Here is a 22,723-nt window from a genome sequence, read left to right as displayed (position 1 = left end):
TCTGGTCGTATAATTAATGGTAGGTAGGACCAGGCTGAGCACAGGAGGTGATTGGGTCCCCAGCCCCCACCTACGGGCTGAGTGATCTTTGGCGTGTCTCTGCACACTCCTACTAGCCTCCTTCCTTAGTTTCCCGTCTGCAAAACGTGATGCCAACAAGACCCCTAGAGGTTTCCCCCTGTTACGAGTTCTAAGTCCTGACGGCTCACTCCTTCTGACCTCAGGAGGCTCCCACCTCCCTCTGCAGGTCCAGGCACCGGACCTGGGAGGCGCTGAGTGGGGGGCAGGGCGGGCAAGCCTCGGCAGGCGATTGGGCTACGAAGGGAAGGAGGGAGGAGCGGCGGCTGCACTGCGGAGCCCAGAGGGCCAGCTGCGCGGCCTGTGGACGCGGGATGGCAGGGGCGAGCTCCACGCCCTGTCCCCGTCTAAGCTACCACCTTTACTTCCACCAGGCTGGGAACCAGGGCTTCCTTGGTTGTGGTCAGCAATGAGTCTGGGTATGAGTATTCTGCGGGAAAAGGGGGAGAGGGGCCACTTCGGTCTCCGCCCCTCCCACTTTGGGAAAATGAGCGGGGTTGGGGGGGCGACTCGGGGAGTCATTTTGGCTGCACCCATAGGCTGGAGAGCCAAATCTGGGGCGCGGGGTACAGAGGCGAAATAAAGAAGGGGAACAGAAAAGAGGAATGCCTGCTGGGGAAGAGTTTGGTTGTCAATCCGGTCTGCATCTCCCTTGGGTCTTCTGGGTCTGCCATGCGCTGCCTGCAACCCCCAAGTCCGCCGCCAGGGGCCGCCGAAGCTCTGTCCTTGCAGCTGGCTCTAGGGTCGAACCCCAGGGTGAGGAGAGGAGGGGAAACGGGGAGGCTAGGCATGACCTTTTGGCTTGGAAAGTCTTAGAAACAGTGAAGAGACGTTGGTATTCATAACAGAATCTTCGTCGGAGGATGTTGGGGATCAATTCTAGAACTTTAGTGTCATTAGGAGTAGGTTGGTGTCATTTTGCAAATGCTCTTATCACTCATAGATACTTAACGTCTTAGTCATAAAATCAAAGAATCTTTTTTTTCTTTTTCTTTTTTCTTTTTTTTTTTTTTGAGACGGAGTCTCGCTTTGTGGCCAGGCTGGAGTGCAGTGGCGCGATCTTGGCTCACGGCAACCTCCGACCCCCCGGGTTCAAGCGATTCCCGTCTCAGCCTCCGGAGTAGCTGGGACTACAGGCACGCGCCACCACGCCCGGCTTTTTTTTAAATTTTATTTTATTTTTAATTTAATTTTATTTTAGTAGAGACGGGGTTTCACCATGTTGGCCAGGATGGTCTCGATCTCCTGACCTCGTGATACGCCCGCCTCGGCCTCCCAAAGTGCTGGGGTTACAGGCGTGAGCCACTGCGCCTGGTCACGTCTTAGTCATAGCATCTTAAAGCCAGAGCGAGAGGCTCCTGGGTTCACAGACTCTTAGAAAATAAGAGGGAAGGGACTTCCCCAAGGTCACACGGCCAGCGCGCTGTGGCAGAGAGGAGTGTGCGGATGGGTTGGAGAGCTGTGGGGATTTCCTTCCCCCTTCAGAGTCCTCTTCCTTGGCTCATGTCCAAGTGTCCCAGCCCCAGGTAGCGGGACAGGAAAGGGGCGTGGCTGGCCCCCCGCTTAGACCCAGGAAGGCGGGAGGGACCCCTTGGGCACTGGAGCTCCTGGGTGGCCCTGCAGCCGGCACTCCCCCGTCTTCCAGATGACAATTTGTCGGGCACGAGCGGTATGGAAGTGGACGACCGCGTGTCGGCGCTGGAGCAGCGGCTGCAGTTACAGGAAGACGAGCTGGCGGTCCTAAAGGCGGCGCTGGCGGATGCTCTGCGTCGCCTGCGGGCATGCGAAGAACAGGGAGCGGCGCTACGCGCGCGGGGCACCCCCAAGGGCCGGGCGCCTCCGCGCTTAGGCACCACTGCCTCGGGTATCCCCGTTAGACTGGAGGGGTGGGATGGGGAGGACCGGGGCCTGGTCCTTATACTCACCCTCTTCTGTCCCCTAACCCCATCCCTCCAGTGTGTCAGCTCTTGAAAGGCCTTCCCACCAGGACGCCCCTTAATGGCTCGGGACCCCCGCGGCGCGTGGGTGGCTATGCCACGTCCCCATCCTCTCCCAAGAAGGAGGCGACCTCCGGGCGCAGGTAAGGCACAAGGCCGGGACCCCCAGCCTCTTCCAAGACCTCGTGGGAGACAGAGGTGGTTTGTTTGCCTGAGCTCCAGCAGCAGAGGGTGCAGGGAGAATCTCGCTTGCTCACGGCACTCGCCTGCTGGCCTAGAAGGCTCTGCCCCCACCTGTGTGCTCTCTTTTAGCAGTGTCCGCCGCTACTTGTCACCAGAGCGCCTCGCCTCGGTGCGCCGTGAGGACCCCCGCAGCCGGACCACATCCTCCAGCAGCAACTGTAGCGCCAAAAAGGAAGGGTAAGGACTGGGGCGGCGTCAAGCCGCAGAAAGAGATAGGGAGGAAATGGTCGAGAAATGTAGTCATGCCCCAGGCCACGAGGTCGTAACCTAGAGTGGGGCCAGCTAGTTCAAAAGCGGGGACGGTGCCAGAGCCTTGGAGGGACCAATCTTGAGGTGGCACGGTAACAGTGGAAGGTCTGGGAGGGCGGAGTCAATATTGAGGGGCGTGGCCAGAGTTTTTAGAAGCTGGACGGTCAGGTCTACTGGGTGAGGAAGTCAGGGAGGAGCTTGGCTTATGGGCGTGGTTATTAAGGTACAGGAGAGGCCCCGTTGAGTTTCAGGGATGAAGTCAAGGCAGCAGCCACAGAGTTTCTACAAGGAAAGAGGGAGTCTGAGGAATTTAAGGGTGCAGCCACAGTGTTCGCCTGGGCGAAATTAAAATCTGGGGTACGGAGTAACAGAGGCTGAGACCAGGTGGAGGCATTCCAGATTCCAGAAGCTTTGACATCAAAATCGGGGGGCACTGCCAGGTTGAAAAGGGCGTGGCTTAAAGGTTGGGCGGGGCCGTAGGGGCGTGGTCAAATGCCAAGAGGTGCAGCCAACTTGGAGGCCTCGAAGGTATTCACATAAGGAATACGTGAAAATGGACGTAATCAGAATGCCTGGCGGGCCGGAGAAGGAGCGTTGGCGGGAGGTAGCAGTCAATTCTCAAGCAACTGAGTCAACTCAGGGACAGGGTTAGAAGGGAGGCTCAGAATGACAGGCGTGGTCAACTCCAGAGGCGGGGCCATACTGAAGATCTGGACAGAGTCAAAAACTAAGGCTATATAATTCTAGCAGTTTGGGAGGCGGAGGCGGGAATCATCGCTTGAGCTCAGGAGTTCGAGACCAGGCTGGGCAAAATAGCGAGCCCTCGTCTTTACTAAAAATGAAAATAAATTAGGCCTGGCGCGGTGGCTCACGCCTGTAATCCCAGCACTTCGGGAGGCCTAGGCGGGTGGATCACAAGGTCAAGAGATCGAGACCATCCTGGCCAACATGGTGAAACCCCCTGTCTATTAATAATACAAAAATGGGCGTGGTGGCGCGTGCCTGTAGTCCCAGCTACTCGGGAGGCTGAGGCAGGAGAATCACTTCAACCCGGGAGGCGGAGGTTGCAGTGAGCTGAGATCGCGCCACTGCACTCCAGCCTGCTGACAGAGCAAGACTCCGTTAAACAAACAAACAAAAAACAAAAAACAAAAAACAAAAAAAAAAAGAGAGAGAAAGAAAATAGCCGGGCGTGCTGGCCTTCGCTTGTAGACCCAGCTACTTGGGAGGCTGCGGCAGGAGGCTCACTTAAGCCTAGGAAATTCGAGGTTTCAGTGAGCCATGATCACGCCATTGCACTCCAGTTTGGTCGACAGAGCCACACCCTGTATCAAAAACAAAACAAAACAAAAATCACCCTAAGGCTGGAGTTATGGTGCAGTGGGCGTGGTCAGCGCTAGGAGGCCACGCAAGGGCAAGACCAAGGTCAAAAGCTGCACATTTCAACTCTGCTCAAACATAGCAAACACAAATACAGCGTTGTGTATACTCCAGGCACTTCCCAATAATTAACCAATTTCACCCTCGCAACTACCCCCGGGAGGTGTGAGTACTCTTATTTATTTATTTATTTTGAGACGGAGTCTTGTTCTCGTTGCCCAGGCTGGAGTGCAATGACACAATCTCAGCTCACTGTAACCTCTGCCTCCCGAGTTCGAATGATTTTCCTGCCTCAGCCTCCCAAGTAGCTGGGATTACAGGCGCCAGCCACCACGCCAGGCTAAGTTTTGTATTTTTAGTAGAGACGGGGTTTCACCACGTTGGCCAGGCTGGTCTTGAACTCCTGACCTCAGGTGATCTGCCCGCCTCGGCCTCCCAAAGTGCTGGGATTACAGGCATGAGCCACCGCGCCCGGCCGGGTACTCTTATTATCCCCATTTTTTAAATGAGGAAACCGAGGCAGAGGTTGGACGACCTGTGTACACTGCTAGGAATTAGCAGAACTGGGGTTTTAACTCAAGCAGGCGCGCTCCCGAGTCCATGTTCTCAACCACTCTCCCCCACCCACCCCGAAAGAACCTGGGATCGGGAGTCCACAGCCCGGGATGTGTGACCCGGTGGGACCCTCCGGCTCCAGGGGTGGCTGTGGAGGGCGGGGCAGGGGCGCGGCGGCCCGGGCGCCTCCCAGGGCCGGAAGCGGCAGAGCCGGTCCCGGCTCCACCCCCGGCCCCGAAGCTCCGCCACCCGCCGCCATGAGTAGCTTTGGAGCTGGGTGAGACCCTTTCGCAGACCACCCCCCATCTCCTCTCCGCGCTCCCGGGGCTTAGATCTCAGGTTTCACCCAACCCCTGGGACCCAGACCGGCGTGGGGACACGCCCCTTCCCTTAAACTCTCCCCGTTTCTCCCTCTGCTTGACGTTTGGTGTGCTGGGGGAACTGCGGGTGGGGGGCGCTGGGGAGCACCTTGCTGATTAGGAGGGAAGGGTCCTTGGTGACTCCCTTCTTCCAGGATCGCGTCCCTGCCACTTCGTGCTGTGTGATCTTTGGCGATCACTGCCTCTCTGGGCCTGTGTCTTAGGCTCTGCAAGATCAACCGAGCAAAGCACACGGCCTGCAGAGAGGCAGCGCTCTGCCCCTTACTCGGCCCCGTTTTCATCGGAGACCTCCGGGGAGCGGTGGGGGTGGAGGAATGGTTTCTCCCCTTTTCTGAACTGAATACTAAGACCCTTTTTTTTTCTTTGTCCTTTCCTGACAGCAAAACCAAAGAAGTTATCTTCAGTGTGGGTGAGTGGGGAGATGGGGAAGGGCTCGGTGGAAGCTTGCTTGTTGGGGTGACAGGCTGGAGCCAGAGGTCAGGAGTCTTGGCTACTGGGTCTTTGCCTCTCTGGCCTCAGTTTCCCTGCCTTTAAAAAAATAAATAAATAAAGCTGGAAGAGGAGAGGGAATAGGGATGGGGCTGGTGTCAGTGCCTGACCTCTGGGGGTGTCCTGGCAGAGGATGGCTCCGTGAAAATGTTCCTGAGGGGCCGCCCTGTGCCCATGATGATCCCAGACGAGCTGGCACCCACCTACAGCCTGGACACACGCTCGGAGCTGCCTTCTTGCCGGCTCAAGCTGGAGTGGGTGTATCCTTTTGCTGGAATCTCCTTGGTGCTCCCATCCCCCCAGGAGGAAATAGAAAGGCGGTCAAGGCAGCTCAGGCCTGTAATCTCAGCACTTTGGGAGGATCGTTTGAGGCCAAGAGTTTGAGACCTGCCTGGGCAACACACAAAACAAGCACAGCACGTTCAAGGGCTATGTGGCCAGAGTGGGATTGGTGCATTTGAGCAAAAAGAGTTGGGAATGGCTGGAAGCCCGGGCTCTGGAGTCTGACAGAGATGGGTTCAAACCCCAGTCCAGCCCGTACCTGGCCGTGTGACCCTGGAAAAGTCGTCTTGACTCTGAAAAATGAATTTTATGATCTCAGGTCCATAGACCTGTGAAATAATGTGTAAAGGTACTGAGCTCATAGTATGTGCCCCATGCACAGGGACTGATAAAACACTAACTCAGCACATTGGGAGGCCGAGGTGGGTGGATCACTTGAACCCAGGAGTTTGAAACCAGCCTGAGCAACATAGCAAGACCTCGTCTTTACAGGAAATAAAATAGCAGGCCGGGCGCGGTGGCTCATGCCTGTAATCTGAGCACTTTGGGAGGCCGAGGTGGGCAGATCACCTGAGGTCAGGAGTTTGAGACCAGCCTGACCAATATGATGAAATCCTGTCTCTACTAAAAATACAAAAATTAGCCGAGTGTGGTGGCATGTGCCTGTAAACCTAGCTACTCGGGAGACTGAGACAGGAGAATCGCTTGAACCCAGGAGGCAGAGGCTGCAGTGAGCCGAGATTGCCCCACTGCTTTCCGGCCTGGGCCACAAGAGTGAAACTCCGTCTCAAAAAAAAAAAAAAAAAAAAAAAAAAGAAAAGAAAAAGAAAAAAAAAATAGCCAGCCATGGTGGCATGCTCCTGTGGTTCCCAGCTACTCTGGAGGCTGAGGTGGGAGCATCACTTGAGCCTGGGAGGTCGAGGTTGCAGTGAGCCATGATTGTGCTATTGCACTCCAGCCTGGGCGACAGAGCGAGACTCCTTTCTCAAAAAAAAAAAAAAAAAAAAAAAAATCCAAAATAATAACTCAAGCACTTACTATCTGACAGACACTGTTGTAAGTTATTCCAGGTATGAATTTATTTTTTTACAACTAGTGGCCTCCAAGAGCTCTGAGGCCTACAGTTTGGAAATTATTATACCTCCTTTCCAGATAAGGAAACTGAGGTTATAGGTAGGAGACAACAATCCTGATTCTGGGACCCAAACTTTTTCCTAAAATCCTATTGAGCTTGGAGTCCACACCCCAGGAACCCGGTCCTTGTCTGCTTCTCTCTGGGCCTTGGTTTCCTCTTTGGAGGAGCCAGGGTGGTTGGTGAAATGGCCTGGCCTTCTGGGTGCCCAGAGCCTTCTCGAGGCAGCTGGAAATATCCCCTGGAATCTGTCCCAAATGTCCTGCCAGTAGGGCTTGATAAGCATCTGATGAGAGGTGGCTGAGACTGCAAAAGTGAGGACCTCAGATTGCTCCCCTTTGCAGTGACTGCAGGTCAGAGCAGTTTCATGGGGTCAGGATATATGTATATTGACAATCATTCAGATATTTTCTTGTTTTTGAGACACCCAGGCTAGAGTGCAGTGGCACGATCTTGGCTCACTGCAACCTCCACCTCCTGGGTTCAAGCCATTCTTCTGCCTCGGCCACTACAGTAGCTGGGTGGCATGGGCCACCATGCCTGGCTAATTTTTTTGTGTGTTTTTTAGTAGAGACAGGGTTTCGCCATGTTGGCCAGGCTGGTCTTGGACTCCTGACCTCAAGTGATCCACCTGCCTCGGCCTCCCAAAGTGCTGAGATTACAGGCGTGAGCCACCGTGCTTGGCCCATTCAAGATATTTTCTGAACATCTGAGACATAGGGCTGGGGACCCAGTGCTGACCATGACAGCATCTGCCTGCCCTCCTGGGGCATACAGTCTAGCATGGGAACAGACTCATTGAGAGTGACAACCCAGAGTGTGCAAGACTGGGATGGGGAATCCACAGGGACAGGGCTGACCCAGCCTGGAGTCATGGAGGGCTTCCTGGAGGAGGAGATACAGAAATGAAAAAAACAAAACAAACAAACAAAAAAAACAGCCCAATCTCAGCCACCATGGAACTCACAGTCTTATTGGGGAATATGAGCAGTTAACAAATAAACCAGATAACTATCAGCTTGGGCAACAAAGCGAGATCCCATCTCTACAGAAAATTTCTTTTTAATTAGCCAGGCAGGCTGGGTGCATTGGCTCATGCCTGTAATCCCAGCACTTTAGGAGGCCAAGACAAGTGGACTGCTTTAGCCCAGGAATTTGAGACCAGCCTGGGCAGCATGGCGAGACTGCATCTTTACCAAAAATATACAAAAAATTTGCTGGGCATGGTGGTGCATGCCTGTAGTCTCAGCTATTTGGGAAGCGGAGGCAGGAGGATCACTTAAGCCCAGGAGATTGAGGCTGCCTCTTCTGTCATTTATAAGGACACTTGTGATCGGATTTAGGGGCTACTCTGATAATCCAGGATGATCTCATCTTGAGATCTATAATTATATCTGCAAAGACCCATTTTCCTTGTAAGGTCACATTTGCAAGTTGTGGGGATTAAGAAACAGACATAGCCCGGGCGCGGTGGCTCATGCCTATAATCCCAGCACTTTGGGAGGCCGAGGTGGGCAGATCACCTGAGGTTGGGAGTTCAAGACCAGCGTGACCAACATGGAGAAACCCTTTCTCTACTAAAAATACAAAATTAGCCAGGCATGGTGGCGCATGCCTATAATCCCAGCTACTCAGGAGGCTGAGGCAGAAGAATCCCTTGAACCCGGGAGGTGGAGGTTGCCGTGAGCTGAGATCACACCATTGCACTCCAGCCTGGGCAACAAGAGCGAAACTCCATCTCAAAAAAAAAAAAAAAAAAAAAAAAAAGGAAACAGACATTCATTTTTTTTTGGAGTGGGAGGGGACCATCAGCCCACTACAGGGGTGAGAGTGGAAACAGAAAAACCTCATTCCAATGACCTTGTTGAGTCTGGTCCTCAGCCAGTGTGTGTGATGCAAAATACATTCCTCGGCTGGGCGCCAGCGGCTCAAACCTCTAATCCCAGCACTTTGGGAGACCAAGGTGGGTGGATCACCTGAGGTCAGGAGTTGGAGACCACCCTGACCAATATGGTGAAACCCCATCTCTACTAAAAATACAAAAATTAGCCTGGCATGATGGCATCTGCCTGTAGTCCCAGCTACTTGGGAGGCTGAGACAGGAAAATGGCTTGAACCCAGGAGGCGGAGGTTGCAGTGAGCTGGGATCATGCCACTGCACTCCAGCCTGGGTGACAGACTCTGTCTTAAAAAAACAAAACAGGCCGCGCGTGGTGGCTCACGCCTGTAATCCCAGCACTTTGGGAGGCTGAGGCGGGCGGATCATGAGGTCAGGAGATTGAGACCATCCTGGCCAACATGGTGAAATCCCATCTCTATTAAAAATACAAAAATTAGCTGGGTGTGGTGGCGTGTGTCTGTAATCCCAGATACTCAGGAGGCTGAGGCAGGGGAATCGTTTGAACCAGGGAGTCGGAGGTTGCAGTGAGCTGAGATTGCACCACTGCACTGCTGCCTGGAGACAGAGCGAGACTGCGTCTCAAAAAAAAGAAAAAATAAATAGGCTGGGTGCCGTGGCTCCCAGCACTTTGGGAGGGCGAGGCGGGTGGATCACAAGGTCAGGAGATCGAGACCATCCTGGCTAACATGGTGATACCCCGTCTCTACTAAAAATACAAAAAATAAGCCGGGCATGGTGGCGGGCGCCTGTAGTCCCAGCTACTCAGGAGGCTGAGGCAGGAGAATGGCATGAACCCAGGAGGCGGAGCTTGCAGTGAGCTGAGATCACGCCACTGCACTCCAGCCTGGGCGACAGAGTGAGACTCCATCTCAAAAAAATAAATAAATAAAAAAATTAAAAATAAATAAATAAATAAAAACAAAACAAACAAACAACAACAACAAAACACATTCCTTAACCAGCCCCTGGGTGGCTCCAGCTATGGCTACCGTGGCCGAGACTGCCGGGCCAACCTTTATTTGCTGCCCACCGGGGAGATAGTGTACTTTGTGGCCTCCGTAGCCGTGCTATACAGCGTGGAGGAGCAGAGGCAGCGACACTACCTGGGACACAACGATGACATCAAATGGTGAGATGTGGGACAGAGGGGACGGGAGGGAGCTGTGGCTGGAGATGGAGCTCCAGCCCCTGCCCCTCTATGCCTCTTTTCACATTGCTACCCTGTGGGGTTTGGGGCAAGGCTAAGCCTTTGCTCCCTCTCCAAAGCCACCAGCTGCCCTCAGGCTGAATTTAGTGGGAAAATGTGGATTGAGTATCAATATTTCAATATTTCAGGTGTTTTAGTTGGGTGTGGTGGTAAGCCCTTATGGTCCCAGCTACTCAGGAGGTTGAGGCGAGAGGATCACTTGAACCCAGGAGGTCGAGGCTGCAGTGACTGAGCCACCACACTCCAGCCTGGGTGAAAGAGCAAGCTCTGTCTCAAAAAAAATTCAGACAGTGAATTCACGCAATGCCTGGATCTTTTTCTTCTTTTGAAAATCTGGGCAGCGAGGTGGCTCACGCCTGTGAAAGCAGCACTTTGGGAGGCCAAGGCGGAAGGATCGCTGAAGTCCAGGAGTTGGAGGCTGCAGTCAGCTATGATCCTGCCACTGCACTCTAGCCTGGGGGACAGAGCGAGACTCCATCTCCTTTTTTTTTCTTTTTTCTTTTTTTGAGAACTAGTCTCACTCTGTCGCCTAGGCTGGAGTCCAGTGGCACGATCTCGACTCACTGCAACCTCCGCTCCTGGGTTCAAGCGATTCTCCTGCCTCAGTCTCCCGAGTAGCTGGAACTACAGGTGCCCGCCACCACGCCCAGCTAATTTTTGTACTTTTACTAGAGACAGGGTTTCCCCATGTTGGCCAGGCAGGTGTCAAACTCCTGACCTCTGGTGATCCGCCCGCCTCGGCCTCCCAAAGTGCTGGGAGACTCCGCCTCTTAAAAAAAAAAAAAACTGAATAGGCACTCCAGACAATTCCTGGTGGCTGGAGCAGGGTGGTGTCAGCCCCCTTAAATAAGTGTGCTCTCCTGGCCACTATGTGAGGTACAGACCTGCGTCCTGCTGGCATTTGAGTTAGAGGCCCCAGGCCTAAGTCTTGCTTCTGATCCAGCGCCAGCGCACCCGGAGGGCATCCGCTCACTGCTATTAATGCACTAAATACACGTTTATTGACTAAACTCAACCAGCCAATTTGTGGAATGAATGTCCTGGGTCTCTGTGAGCCTCTTCTCTCCCACTGAGCCCTGGTCTCTCTGTCCCTTCTTTCCGCAGCTTGGCCATCCACCCAGATATGGTCACCATCGCCACGGGACAGGTGGCGGGAACCACTAAGGAAGGGAAGGTAATGGAAGGGAGGGGAAAGCAGAAAAGAGTGCAGGACGCAGTTGTGGGGGACAAGCAGCTGGCACCCCCAAGGTAACAAGCCTCTCTTCCCTGCAGCCGCTGCCGCCCCACGTGCGCATCTGGGACTCAGTTTCCCTCTCCACCTTACACGTGCTGGGCTTGGGGGTGTTTGACAGAGCCGTGTGCTGTGTGGGCTTCTCCAAATCTGTAAGTCCTTCGCCCACCCTAACCCCGCCCCTTCGCCCCGAAAAGGAGGGCAAGTGCCCGCACCTTTTCACCCGCCCCTTGGGTTGAGGGCCGGGAATCCTGCTGGAGGCGTGGCCCGCCTCTGTGACGTCACAATGAGGGCGTGTCCTCACCCCAAGGGGCGGGTGAGTCACCGTGCCCGCCCAGCCCTCTCAGGCATTTTAAACCCAGTGCCTAGGGCCCAGCTGGTCCTTGCCCATTTGCAGGCGGGTTTTGGCATGTCCAGGCAGAGATAAGTACAGAAAGCGAGAGTATGCCTTTAGGAATTTGGAGAGCAGTTTGACAACACCACAACATCCAAGTGTGTGATTGTGGGCTTTTTTTTAAAAAAAAATCCTATTTTGGCTGGGCATGGTGGCTTGTGCCTGTAATCCCAGCACTCTGGGGGGCTGAGGTGGGAGGATCATTTGAAGTCAGGAGTTTGAGACCAGCCTAGCCAACGTAGTGAAGCCCGTCTCTACCAAAAACAGTACAAAAATTAGTCTGAGGTGGTGGCGTCCCAGCTACTCGGGAGGCTGAGGCAGGAGAATCGCTTGAACCCGGGAGGGGGAGTTTGCAGTGAGTCGAGATCGCGCCACAGCACTCCAGCCTGGGCGACAGAGCGAGACTCGTACTCAAAAAAAAAAAAAGGCCAGGTGCAGTGGCTCACGCCTGTAATCCTAGCACTTTAGGAGGCCGAGGCGGGCGGATCACAAGGTCAGGAGTTTGAGACCAGCCTGGCCAACATGGTGAAACCCCGTCTCTACTGAAAATACAAAAATTAGCTGGGCATGGCGGAGGGTGCCTGTAATCCCAGCTACTTGGGAGGCTGAGGCAAGAGAGTTGCTTGAACCTGGGAGGCGGAGTTTGCAGTGAGCCGCCGAGATCGCGCCATTGCACTGCAGCCTGGGCGACAGGGCGAGACTCCAACTAAAAAAAAAAAAAAAAAAAAAAAAAATTCTAATTAGCTGGGTGTACTAGTGTGGGCCTGGGCCTGTACTCCCAGATACTTGGGAGGTTGAGGTGGGAGGATTGAATGAGCCTAGGAGATCGAGGCTGCAGTGAACTGTGATCATGCCACTACACTCCAACTTGGGCGATATGGCAGGACGCTGACTTTAAAAAATAAATAAAAATTGGTCAGATGCGGTTCATGCCTGTAATCCCAGCACTTTGGGAGGCCAAGATGGGTGGATCATTTGAGGTCAGGAGTTCGAGACCAGCCTGGCCAACATGGTGAAACCCCATCTCTACTAAAAATATACAAAAATTAGCTGGGTGTGGTAATCCCAGCTACTCAGGAAGCAGAGGCAGGAGAGTCACTTGAACCTGGGAGGCGGAGGTAGCAGTGAGCTCAGATCCCACCACTGCACTCCACACTAGGGGACCGAGTGAGACTCTGTCTCAAAAATATATAGATAGATAGATAGATAAAAATCATATTTTACATTTTTATCATATTTGATTAAAATATTAGTCTTCAATGGATTAGGGAGTAAAAAACAGCCAGTCTCCTGCACAGATAGCTTAAGAGGCACTGGATTGGACCCTCACCGGTTTTCTGAGGCCTAAAGAAACATTTAAGAGCTTGGGGTAGGGGTAAGCCATATTGTTACCAAAGGTGTGGAGAAGAAAATAAAACCTTGCCAAATCAAAATTAACCTGTATTTAATGAAAGGTATAAAAGCCCAACATTGGCCAGGCGAGGTGGCTCATGACTGTAATCCCAGCACTTTGGAAGGTGGAAGCTGGTGTATCACCAGAGGTTAGGAGTTCAAGACCAGCTTGGCCAACATAGTGAAACCCTGTCTCTACTAAAAATACAAAAATTAGGAGGGCAGTGGTGGCATGTGCCAGCTACTTGAGAGGCAGAGACAGGAGAATCGCTTGAACCTGGGAGGTGGAGGTTGCAGTGAGCCAAGATCATGCAACTGCATTCCAGCTTGGGCAATAGAATGAGACTCAGTCTCAAAAAATAAAATAAAATAAAAAACAAACAAAAACCCAACATAATACCAACTTTGTTAACTGCTGAATTTCACCTACATCAGTCATTCTCTATATATGTAAATGCAAATGAGATGATGTCAGCAAGAATTCCTGGCTAGGGGTGCTGGCTGCAGAGAAACAATAGCTGAGGGCAAATGAAATGAGTTTATTAGGGATGAGTCATTTCAAGGCATAGTATGAAACCATTTCAGATGTCTTCACAGCTTCTAATGGAGGGTGTATTTTAATGTGTTTCCTGCAAAATGGCCAGGGCCTTTGAAGGTCTTTTTTTTTTTTTTTTTGAGACAGAGTCTCTCACTGTCACCCAGGCTGGAGTGCAATGGCGCAATCTTGGCTCACTGCATCCTCTGCCTCCCAGTTCAAGCGATTCTCCTGCCTCAGCCTCCCGAGTAGCTGGGATTACAGGCACCTGCCACCACGCCTGGCTAATTTTTTGTATTTTTAGTAGAGACAGGGTTTCACTATGTTGGCAAGGCTGGCCTCGAACTCCTGACCTCGTGATCCACCTGCCTCGGCCTCCCAAAGTGCTGGGATTACAGGTGTGAGCCACCACGCCTGGCTTTTTATTTTTTTTTAATATTTAAATTTGTTTTGTTTAAGAGACAGGGTCTCCCTATATTGCCTATGCTGGCCTCAAACTCCTGGACTCAAGCGATCCTCCCACCTACTGTGCCCAGCCTGAAGGTTTTAAAACAGGCCTGTGTGGTGAATGCCTTGGTGGGCATGGGGGGAGGATGGGCCCTGACTCCCCTTGCCTCTGTCCCCCTCCTCTCTCCTCCTCTTTAGAATGGAGGCAACCTGCTGTGTGCAGTGGATGAATCCAATGATCACATGCTCTCGGTGTGGGACTGGGCCAAGGAGACCAAGGTGGTGGATGTCAAGGTGAGGTGACTTTTCTCATCCCCTCCTGCTGGGTGCCACTGTGGGACTTTCCCAATCTCAGTGGTTAGGAGTCTGCAATCAGATAGACCCGTGTTTAAGCCCTGGCTTTACTCCTTGCTGGCTGTGTGACTTGAGCAAGCCGCTTGCCACCTCAGAGCCTTGGTGGTCTCATCTGTAATATGGGGATAATAGGCTGGGCAAGGTGGCTCACACCTGTAACCCTAGCACCTTGGGAGGCCGACATGAGAGGATTGCTTGAGCTCAGAAGTTTGAGATCAGCTTGGGCAACATAAGGAGACCTATCTCTACTTAAAAAAAAAAAAAAAAGGCCGGGCACGGTGGCTCACGCCTGTAATCCCAGCACTTTGGGAGGCCGAGGCAGGCAGATCACCTGAGGTCAGGAGTTCGAGACCAGCCTGACCAACATGGAGAAACCCTGTCTCTACTAAAAATACAAAATTAGCTGGGCATGGTAGCACATGCCTGTAATCCCAGCTACTCGGGAGGCTGAGGCAGGAGAATCTCTTGAACCCGGAGGCGGAGGTTGCGGTGAGCCAAGATCACACCATTGCACTCCAGCCTGGGCAACAAGAGCTAAACTCCGTCTCAAAAACAAAAAACAAAACAAACAGAAAATCTGGCACTTAAAAAAAAAAATTAACTGGGTGTGGTGTGCACCCATAGTCCCAGCTACTTCGGAGGCTAAGGTAGGAGGATCGCTTGAACCTGGTAGGTTGAGGCTGCAGTGAGCCATGATTGCACCATTACACTCCAGCCTGGGCAACAGAGTGAGACCCTGCCTCAAAAAAATAAATAGATAAAATAAAATGGGGATAATGGTAGCATCTTCCTCGTAGGGCCTTGGTGAGGATATGGAGATATGGGGTACGGTGGACCAGGCCCAACAGAAGGGTGGGTTTGAGGTGGCTGCTTGCTGACTCTGCAGTCCTCTGGTGTCTCGATTTCCCTCTCTGAGAGGTGGCCTATTTTAAGGATGAGGCATGGTGAGGGGAAGAGATACTTGCCTCAGGTTGCACACCTGTCCTGGGCTAGGGGAAGGAAACCTGGGTTTTGTTCTATTTATTTATTTATTTACTTACTTACTTACTTACTTACTTACTTACTTTGAGACGGAGTTTCGTTCTTGTCACCTAGGCTGGAGTGCAATGGCATAATCTTGGCTCACTGCAACCTCCACCTCCCAGGTTCCAGCGATTCTCCTGACTCAGCCTCCTGAGTAGCTGAGACTACAGGTGTGTGCCACCATGCCCGGCTAATTTTTGTATTTTTAGTAGAGACGGGGTTTCACCATGTTGGCCAGGCTGGTCTCGAACTCCTGACCTCAGGTGATCCATCTGCCTCTGCCTCCCAAAGTGCTGGGATCACAAGCGTGAGCCACTGCGCCTGGTGGAAACCTGGGTTTTGAATCAAGGCCCACTGTTTGGGGAAACAGAAATGGTGCGGAGGCTGTGCTCTGGAATTAGGGCTAGGTGAGCTGGGTTCCACACACAACTCTTGCCTAGCTGTGTGGCCTTAGGCAAATGGTTTACCCTCTCTGAGCCTCACTTTTTTTTTTTCTATTTGAGATGGAGTCTCGCCCTGTCACCCAGGCTGGAGTGTAATGGCATGATCTCGGCTCACTGCAACCTCCACCACCTGGGTTCAAGTGATTCTCCTGCCTCAGCCTCCCAAGTAGTTGGGATTACAGGTGCGCACCACCACGCCTAATTTTTTTGTATCTTTAGTAGAGATGGGGTTTCGCCACGTTGACCAGGCCAGTCTCGAACTCCTGACCTCGTGATCCGCCTGCCTCGGCCTCCCAAAGTGCTGGGATTACAGGTGTGAGCCACTACACCCGGCCCTCTCTGAGCCTCACTTTTTTTGTGAGACGGAGTTTTCCTCTTGTTGCCCAGGCTGGAGTGCACTGGCACGATCTCGGCTCACTGCAACCTCCGCCTCCCGGGTTCAAGCAAGCAACTCTCCTGCCTCAGCCTCCCGAGTAGCTGGGATTACAGGCATGCACCACCACGACCAGCTAATTTTGTATTTTTAGTAGAGACGGAGTTTCTCCATGTTGGTTAGGCTGGCCTCGAACTCCCGACCTCAGGTGATCCACCCGCCTTGGCCTCCCAAAGGGCTGGGATTACAGGCGTGAACCACCACGCCCAGCCTGAGCCTCACTTTTTAATTTGCAATGAGGTGGGCATAATGGTCTTGACCTCACAGGGAGATGGAGGATTAAAGGAGCTAATGATTGTAAAATGTTGAGCACAGTGCTTAGGGCAGAGGAGAGGAGCTCCAAGTGTCTGCTGTTTTGTTAATGATGAAGAAGATGATAATGCTTCGCTGGCTTGTCCTGCTTCCTGTACTTTAATTTACCGTATAGGAAAGGTACTGGCCAGGCGTGGTGGCTCACGCCTGTAATCCCAGCACTTTAGGAGGCTGAGGTGGGAAGATCACTTGAGGTCAGGAGTTTGAGACCAGCCTGGCCAACATGGTGAAACCCTATCTCTACTAAAAATACAAAAATTAGCCAGGTGTGGTGGCACGTCCCTGTAAATCTAGCTATTTGGGAGGCTGAGGCAGAAGAATCTCTTGAACCTGGGAGGCAGAGGTTGTAGGAGCCAAGATTGTGCTACCGCACTCCAGCCTGGGCAACAGAGCGAGACTCATATTCAAAAAAAAAAAAAAAAAGGCCGGGCGCAGTGGCTCACGCCTGTAATCCCAGCACTTTAGGAGGCTGAGGCGGGTGGATCACGAGGTAAAGAGTTCGAGACCAGCCGGGAAACATGGTGAAATCCTGTCTCTACTAAGAATACAAAAATTAGCTGGGTGTGGTAGCACCTGCCTGTAATACCAGCTATTCGGGAGGCTGAGGCAAGAGAATCGCTTGAACCCAGGAGGCGGAGGTTGCAGTGAGCAGAGATTGCACCACTGCACTCCAGTCTGGGTGACAGGGTGAGACTCTGCCCTGAAAAAAAAAAAAAAAAGAAAAGTTCAGGTGTGCAGCATACAACACAAACAGCCGTTTAGGGCAGTCCTGTGAGGGGCGGGTATAGTAGCCTTGGGGACTTTGAGGTCCTCATTCAGAATCTCCCCCACCCCCCAAAGTGCTCCAATGAGGCTGTATTGGTGGCCACCTTCCACCCCACGGACCCCACTGTGCTTATCACCTGCGGGAAATCTCACATCTACTTCTGGACCTTGGAGGGGGGCAGCTTGAGCAAGCGGCAAGGCCTCTTTGAGGTGAGTGCCAGGGGTTTGGGGGACAGGCTGGCCCTGAGAGAGGTAGTTAGGGACAGGCAGGGAGGTAGCAAGATCCCCCAGAGGGTGGCAGGGGTTTGGGATTACAGGGACGCTGAGATGTTGCCTGCTGGGGCCTCAGTTTCTTTCTCCATACCATGGTGATGATCCACCTTAACTCTGGAGTTAAGAGGGTGACCGGGCACCATGAGGTGGAAGGATCACCTGAGCTCATGGCTGCAGTGAGCCGTGATCAAATGATCACTCCAGCCTGGGTGATAGAACGAGACCCTATCTCAGAAAAAAAAAAAAAAAAAAAAAAAAAAAGTTGTGAGGATTCAAAGGGATGAAGAGTACAGCAGTTCCTAGCAGATAGTAAATGGTCAATAAATGGGTACTGTGGCAAGGTGGCTCTCGCCTGTAATCCCAGCATTTTGGGAGGCTGAGGGGGGAGGATCCCTTGAGCCCAGGAGTTCGAGACCAGCCTGGGGAACATGGTGAGACCTCATATCTACAAAAAATACAAAAATTAGCTGGGCATGGTGGTGTGCACCTGTAATCCCAGTTACCTGGGAGGCTGAGGTGGGAGGATCCCTTGAGCCCAGAAGTTCGAGACCAGCCTGGGAAACATGGAGAGACCTCATATCTACAAAAAATACAAAAATTAGCCAGGCATGGTGGTGCGCACCTGTAATCCCAGCTACCTGGGAGGCTGACGTGGGAGGACCGCTTGAGCCCAGGAGGTTGACTGCAATGAGCCATGATGGTACCACTGCACTCCAGCCTGGGTGACAGAGTGAGATCCTGTCTCAAAAAAAACAAAAACAAAAACAAAAACAAAAACAGGGGTGCTGCGGTTGTCGATATGATGGATAATCAGAGAACTCAGAGGCTGCCTGGCTGAGAGAGCCACAAGTTGAGTGGGAAGCAGAGGGTGGGAAGACACAGGGCTTCCTCCCATAGGGCTCATTGCCTTTGGTGAGAGATGGGGCTTCCACCCCAAAAGGGAAGCCCAGAGAACACTGGGCACGGAGATGAAACAGAGACACTGAGAAGGTGGAGTGAGGCAGGGAATGGGACCTAGAGAGACAGACTGGAGGTGAGGAGGGAGGAGGAGAGACAGGATGAATGAGGCGCCGACAGGAGGGGAGAAGTCAGGGGGACCAGGCTGGGTGCGGTGGCTCACGCCTGTAATCCCAGCACTTTGGGAGGCCGAGGCGGGTGGATCACTTGAGGCCAGGAGTTCAGACCCGCCTGGCCAACATGGCAAAACCCCATCTCTACTAAAAAAATATGAAAATTAGCCAGGCGTGATGGTGGGCGCCTGTAATCCCAGCTACTTGGGAGGCTGCAGCGGGAGAATCGCTTGAACCCGGGAGGTGGAGGTTGCAGTGAGCCGAGATCACGCCACTGCACTCCAGCCTGGTGACAGAGCGAGACTCCGTCTGAAAAACAAAAACAAAAACAAAACAAAATTAGCCGGCCATGATGGCGCAGGCCTGTAATCCCAGCTGCTTGGGAGGCTGAGGCAGGAGAATCGTTTGAACCCGGGAGGGGGAGGTTGCTGTGAGCCGAGACATGCCACTGCACTCCGGTCTAGATGACAGGTGAGACTGTATCTCAAAAGAAAGAGTCAGGGGGACCAGAGAGAGGGCAGGAAGTGGGCCCAGGGGTAGGAAAGCAAGACAATTGTGGTCAGAACCTCTAGGCCACCGAAGCACTGCAGGCCGGATGGAGGCAGGTGGGAGAAGGGATGCTCCACGCAGAGCCTTACCCTAAACGCATAGATAGAGGGGATTGCCTGGCCACGGTCCTGGGTGACAGATGACCTCTGGGAGGCTACCTGCTTCAGTGACGCTCTGACACCTTCCTTTCCTCCCCCACCTTAGAAACATGAGAAACCGAAGTATGTGCTGTGTGTGACCTTTTTGGAAGGTGGCGACGTGGTCACGGGGGACTCTGGGGGGAACCTCTATGTTTGGGGCAAAGGTCAGTGTCACCCCATCTGTTTGGTTCCCAATCCAGTCTTCTGAAACACTCCTGGCTCTGCCTCCCTTCGTGGAATTCTGCTTGTGTGAAATGAGTGTAAATGGATGTCCGATTCCAACACCCTCGTCAAGGTTCAGCTCAAGTATCCCTATCTCCAGGAAATCTTTATTGACTCCCCCCTGCCTTGCCCTCTGGAAATCCCTTGTTAGGGATCAAGTCCAGATTATCAATGAATGGGTTAGCTCAGTTGTGTTTAGATGATGAATGGATGGATGGGTGGATGGAAGGAAGGACGGATGGGTAGATGAATGGATACATGGACAAGTGCTTTGTCCCAGCGTGTGGATCAATGAATAAGTGAATGAAGGAATGAATGAAGGTGTGATCCTAGGAAATGGATGGAAGAATAAGTAAATGAATGTGTCATCCTCCTTAAAGGGAGAGTGACTGGGTAAAGGAACAAATGAGTGGTTGTTACCACTAATGGCTAACTATGTTAGTGAATAGGTTTTGTCTCAGGCAGTGGATCTATACAGCAATGAATGAATGAGTGAATGAGTGAGTGAATGAATGAATGGTTGTTTCAGCCAACAGATTAATGTGTTATGAAGAACAGATTGTTCCAAGAAGTTAATCAGTGATTGGATGAATAAATGACTTGTCTTAGCCAATGGTTGGGTGAAGAAATACTTGCTCCAACCAATGGATGACTTTATTAACAAACTAATGGGTTGAGGCTGGGACAGTGGCTCATGCCTGTAATCCTAGCACTTTGAGGGGCTGAGGCAGGAGGACTGGTTGAGCCCAGGAGTTTGAGACCAGCCAGGGCAACATAGTGAGACCTCATCTTTACTTTTAAAAGTTTTTAGGCTGGGTGCGGTGGCTCACGCCTGTAATCCCAGCACTTTGGGAAGCCGAGGCAGGCAGATCACATGAGGTCAGGAGTTTAAGACCAGCCTGGCCAACATAGCAAAACCCCATCTCTACTAAAAATACAAAAATTAGCCTGGCATGGTGGCGAGCACCTGTAATCCCAGCTAGTCGGGAGGCTGAGGTGGGAGAATCACTTGAACCCTGGAGGTGGAGATTGCAGTGACCAGAGATGGCACCACTGCACTCCAGCCTAGGGGACAGAGCAAGACTCTGTCTCAAAAAAAAAAAAATTTTTTTTTAATAAAGAATTTTTTTTTAAGACAGGGTCTCACTCTAGCGCCCAGGCTGGAGTGCAGTGGTTGCCATCACAGCTCACTGCAACCTCTGCCTCCCAGTATCAAGTGATCCTCCTGCCTCCCAAGTACCTGGGACTACAGGTGCCCACCACCAGGCCCAGGTAATTTTTGTATTTGTTGTAGAGATGAGGTCTCGCTATGTTGCCCAGGCTGCCCTCGAACACTTGAGCTCAAGTGATCTCGGCTCACTGCAAGCTCTGCCTCCTGGGTTCACGCCATTCTCCTGCCTCAGCCTCCCAAGTAGCTGGGACTACAGGTGCCCGCCACCACACCCGGCTAATTTTTTGTATTTTTAGTAGAGACGGGGTTTCACCGTGTTAGCCAGGATGGTCTCCATCTCCTGACCTCGTGATCCGCCCACCTCGGCCTCCCAAAGTGCTGCGATTATCGGCATCAGCCACCGCACTCGGCCAGCCTGCGCTCTCTCTCTTTTTTTTTTTTTTGAGACGGAGTCTCGCTCTGTCGCCCATGCTGGGGTGCAGTGGCGCAATCTCAGCTCACTGCAAGTTCCACCTCCCAGGTTCACCATTCTCTTGCCTCAGCCTCCCAAGTAGCTGGGACTACAGGTGCCCATCACCACTCCCGGCTAATTTTTTGTATTTTTTTAGTAGAGATGGGGTTTCACCATGTTAGCCAGGATGGTCTCAATCTCCTGACCTCGTGATCCGCCCCCTTCGGCCTCCCAAAGTGCTGGGATTACAGGCATGAGCCACCGAACCCGGCCGCCTGCCCTCTCTTTTTAAAAAATTGTCTTTATTAGATTGGGTGCCATGGCTCACACCTGTAATCTTGGCACTTTGGGAGGCTGAAGCAGGCAGATCACTTGAGTCAAAGAGTTCGAGACCAGCCCGGCCAACATAGTGAAACCCTGTCTCTACTAAAAATACAAAAATTAGCCAGGTGTGGTGGCACATGCCTGTAATCCCAGCTACTCCAGAGGCTGAGACATGAGAATCGCTTAAACCCAGGAGGCAGAGGTTGCAGTGAGCCAAGATCATACCACTGCACTCCAGCCTGGTCGACAGAGCAAGACTTTGTCTCAAAAACAAAATAAAACAAAACAAAACAAAACAAAGCAAAACAAAACGAGAGAGGGCAAATGAATGGATGAGAGGTGGGTTGATGGATGGATGGCAGGGTGGCTGACTGGATGGATCAGTAGAGAGATGGGTGGATGAATGGCTAGGGTGATGGATGGATAGATAGTCTGGTGGATGGATGGGTGATGAATGGATGAGTCGATAGTGTTCATCTAACAGACCAGTAGATAAGTGAGTGGATGGATGGATGGGTGGGTGTATGGGTCAAAGGGTAGATGGGTGGATGGGTAGATGTTAGTGCAGATGGTTTAATGAATAGATGATAAGGTATTGTATTTGAGTGGGTAGGTGGCAGGTGCTTGGGTGGTTGGGTGGGTGGAAGAGCAGATAGAAAGGTCGAAAGGTGGGGCCGGGCATGGTGGCTCATGCCTGTAATCCCAGCACTTAGGGAGGCCAAGGCGGGTGGATCACTTGAGGTCAGGAGTTCGAGACCAGCCTGGCCAACATGGTGAAACCCATCTCTACGAGAAACAAAAAATTCGCCAGGCATGGTGGTGGGCGCCTGTAATCCCAGCTACTTGGGAGGCTGAGGTAGGAGAGTCACTTGAACCCAAGAGGCAGAGGCTGAAGTGGGCCGAGATAGCACCAGTGCACTCCAGCCTGGGCAACAGAGAGACTCCGTCTCAAAAAAAAAAAAAAGGTGGAAAAGTGGGTGAGAATGGATGGACATAGGCTTGAGAGTTCAAGATGCTTTCAGGGGTCAGCATAGGGGTGGCTTCTCCCTGTTGACCCTGCCCCTGGCCACCCTGCAGGTGGGAACCGTATCACACAGGCGGTGCTGGGCGCCCACGACGGCGGCGTGTTTGGGCTCTGCGCCCTGCGGGACGGGACGCTGGTGTCTGGAGGGGGCCGTGATCGGCGGGTGGTCCTCTGGGGTTCTGACTACAGCAAGCTGCAGGAAGTGGAGGTGAGGAGGGGCAGTGGGCTCAGATGGGGGTAGAGAGGCCCCCCCCGATCTCACCAGGGCTCCCAACGCCAGACCCTCCTCCCCACAGTATGTCACCCCACACCCACCCGTGTGCATCCTACTCATCTTC

At 52.5% G+C, this 22,723-nt stretch overlaps 1 protein-coding gene, 1 long non-coding RNA gene and 1 other non-coding gene across 15 annotated transcripts in view, besides 15 other annotated features; 2 read left to right on the top strand and 1 right to left on the bottom strand.

Moving 5' to 3' along the window:
• The window catches only part of EML2 (EMAP like 2), a 36,230-nt gene that overhangs the window by 1,554 nt on the left and 11,953 nt on the right, over positions 1–22,723 (top strand). For 3 of the 12 annotated variants that reach the window (NR_147901.2, NR_147899.2, NM_001352052.1), the window contains exons 2-13: positions 1,724–1,942; positions 2,035–2,158; positions 2,331–2,435; positions 5,203–5,231; positions 5,442–5,571; positions 9,605–9,754; positions 10,937–11,006; positions 11,105–11,215; positions 14,030–14,125; positions 17,237–17,371; positions 19,258–19,357; positions 22,439–22,593. Coding sequence is in view for 7 of the 12 variants with exons in the window: in NM_001352052.1 (NP_001338981.1) it covers positions 1,724–1,942; positions 2,035–2,158; positions 2,331–2,435; positions 5,203–5,231; positions 5,442–5,571; positions 9,605–9,754; positions 10,937–11,006; positions 11,105–11,215; positions 14,030–14,125; positions 17,237–17,371; positions 19,258–19,357; positions 22,439–22,593 (1,424 nt within the window). In the remaining 5 variants the exon portion in view is untranslated. Of the gene's footprint in view, positions 1–346; positions 498–1,723; positions 1,943–2,034; positions 2,159–2,327; positions 2,436–4,678; positions 4,782–5,202; positions 5,232–5,441; positions 5,572–9,604; positions 9,755–10,936; positions 11,007–11,104; positions 11,216–14,029; positions 14,126–17,236; positions 17,372–19,257; positions 19,358–22,438; positions 22,594–22,723 lie in introns of those variants that run through there. The other 9 variants (NR_147902.2, NM_001352053.2, NR_147903.2 and 6 more) reach the window with 6 other exon arrangements.
• Positions 546–595: an enhancer, noted in NCBI's record as "active region_14808". NCBI's record gives its function as "activates an Ori minimal core promoter by ATAC-STARR-seq in GM12878 lymphoblastoid cells {active_cell/tissue: GM12878}" and the evidence as "EXISTENCE:reporter gene assay evidence [ECO:0000049][PMID:35858748]".
• Positions 686–735: an enhancer, noted in NCBI's record as "active region_14807". NCBI's record gives its function as "activates an Ori minimal core promoter by ATAC-STARR-seq in GM12878 lymphoblastoid cells {active_cell/tissue: GM12878}" and the evidence as "EXISTENCE:reporter gene assay evidence [ECO:0000049][PMID:35858748]".
• Positions 743–1,594: an enhancer, noted in NCBI's record as "H3K4me1 hESC enhancer chr19:46145740-46146591 (GRCh37/hg19 assembly coordinates)". NCBI's record gives its function as "activates a minimal SCP1, AML or CMV promoter by ChIP-STARR-seq in primed H9 embryonic stem cells {active_cell/tissue: H9 hESC(primed)}" and the evidence as "EXISTENCE:reporter gene assay evidence [ECO:0000049][PMID:30033119]".
• Positions 826–875: an enhancer, noted in NCBI's record as "active region_14806". NCBI's record gives its function as "activates an Ori minimal core promoter by ATAC-STARR-seq in GM12878 lymphoblastoid cells {active_cell/tissue: GM12878}" and the evidence as "EXISTENCE:reporter gene assay evidence [ECO:0000049][PMID:35858748]".
• EML2-AS1 (EML2 antisense RNA 1) lies at positions 1,236–2,582 on the bottom strand. Of its 2 annotated transcripts, NR_130728.1 has the most exons (3): positions 2,310–2,582; positions 2,004–2,197; positions 1,236–1,851 (listed from the first exon to the last, which is right to left on the bottom strand). It is a non-coding gene; the product is annotated as an EML2 antisense RNA 1 (long non-coding RNA). The 2 variants fall into 2 exon arrangements; NR_130729.1 differs by lacking the exon at positions 2,004–2,197.
• Positions 1,266–1,315: an enhancer, noted in NCBI's record as "active region_14805". NCBI's record gives its function as "activates an Ori minimal core promoter by ATAC-STARR-seq in GM12878 lymphoblastoid cells {active_cell/tissue: GM12878}" and the evidence as "EXISTENCE:reporter gene assay evidence [ECO:0000049][PMID:35858748]".
• Positions 1,326–1,585: an enhancer, noted in NCBI's record as "active region_14804". NCBI's record gives its function as "activates an Ori minimal core promoter by ATAC-STARR-seq in GM12878 lymphoblastoid cells {active_cell/tissue: GM12878}" and the evidence as "EXISTENCE:reporter gene assay evidence [ECO:0000049][PMID:35858748]".
• Positions 2,116–2,175: an enhancer, noted in NCBI's record as "active region_14803". NCBI's record gives its function as "activates an Ori minimal core promoter by ATAC-STARR-seq in GM12878 lymphoblastoid cells {active_cell/tissue: GM12878}" and the evidence as "EXISTENCE:reporter gene assay evidence [ECO:0000049][PMID:35858748]".
• Positions 4,150–5,001: an enhancer, noted in NCBI's record as "H3K27ac-H3K4me1 hESC enhancer chr19:46142333-46143184 (GRCh37/hg19 assembly coordinates)". NCBI's record gives its function as "activates a minimal SCP1, AML or CMV promoter by ChIP-STARR-seq in naive H9 embryonic stem cells {active_cell/tissue: H9 hESC(naive)}" and the evidence as "EXISTENCE:reporter gene assay evidence [ECO:0000049][PMID:30033119]".
• Positions 4,385–4,474: a silencer, noted in NCBI's record as "silent region_10785". NCBI's record gives its function as "represses an Ori minimal core promoter by ATAC-STARR-seq in GM12878 lymphoblastoid cells {active_cell/tissue: GM12878}" and the evidence as "EXISTENCE:reporter gene assay evidence [ECO:0000049][PMID:35858748]".
• Positions 4,495–4,774: a silencer, noted in NCBI's record as "silent region_10784". NCBI's record gives its function as "represses an Ori minimal core promoter by ATAC-STARR-seq in GM12878 lymphoblastoid cells {active_cell/tissue: GM12878}" and the evidence as "EXISTENCE:reporter gene assay evidence [ECO:0000049][PMID:35858748]".
• On the top strand, positions 4,989–5,082 carry MIR330 (microRNA 330). Its single transcript, NR_029886.1, has one exon. It is a non-coding gene; the product is annotated as a microRNA 330 (primary transcript).
• Positions 5,002–5,853: an enhancer, noted in NCBI's record as "H3K27ac-H3K4me1 hESC enhancer chr19:46141481-46142332 (GRCh37/hg19 assembly coordinates)". NCBI's record gives its function as "activates a minimal SCP1, AML or CMV promoter by ChIP-STARR-seq in naive H9 embryonic stem cells {active_cell/tissue: H9 hESC(naive)}" and the evidence as "EXISTENCE:reporter gene assay evidence [ECO:0000049][PMID:30033119]".
• Positions 5,471–5,765: a silencer, noted in NCBI's record as "tiled region #4040; K562 Repressive DNase matched - State 2:TssF". NCBI's record gives its function as "represses a minimal TATA promoter and a strong SV40 promoter by Sharpr-MPRA in K562 cells {active_cell/tissue: K562}" and the evidence as "EXISTENCE:reporter gene assay evidence [ECO:0000049][PMID:27701403]".
• Positions 5,471–5,765: an enhancer, noted in NCBI's record as "tiled region #4040; HepG2 Activating non-DNase unmatched - State 3:PromF". NCBI's record gives its function as "activates a minimal TATA promoter and a strong SV40 promoter by Sharpr-MPRA in HepG2 cells {active_cell/tissue: HepG2}" and the evidence as "EXISTENCE:reporter gene assay evidence [ECO:0000049][PMID:27701403]".
• Positions 13,460–13,539: a silencer, noted in NCBI's record as "silent region_10783". NCBI's record gives its function as "represses an Ori minimal core promoter by ATAC-STARR-seq in GM12878 lymphoblastoid cells {active_cell/tissue: GM12878}" and the evidence as "EXISTENCE:reporter gene assay evidence [ECO:0000049][PMID:35858748]".
• Positions 16,136–16,636: an enhancer, noted in NCBI's record as "H3K4me1 hESC enhancer chr19:46130698-46131198 (GRCh37/hg19 assembly coordinates)". NCBI's record gives its function as "activates a minimal SCP1, AML or CMV promoter by ChIP-STARR-seq in primed H9 embryonic stem cells {active_cell/tissue: H9 hESC(primed)}" and the evidence as "EXISTENCE:reporter gene assay evidence [ECO:0000049][PMID:30033119]".

This window comes from Homo sapiens, chromosome 19 (assembly GCF_000001405.40).
Source record: "Homo sapiens chromosome 19, GRCh38.p14 Primary Assembly".
Lineage (NCBI taxonomy): Eukaryota > Metazoa > Chordata > Mammalia > Primates > Hominidae > Homo > Homo sapiens.
Note: the sequence above shows the minus strand (reverse complement) of the source record. Positions and strands in the feature narration are given on the sequence as shown.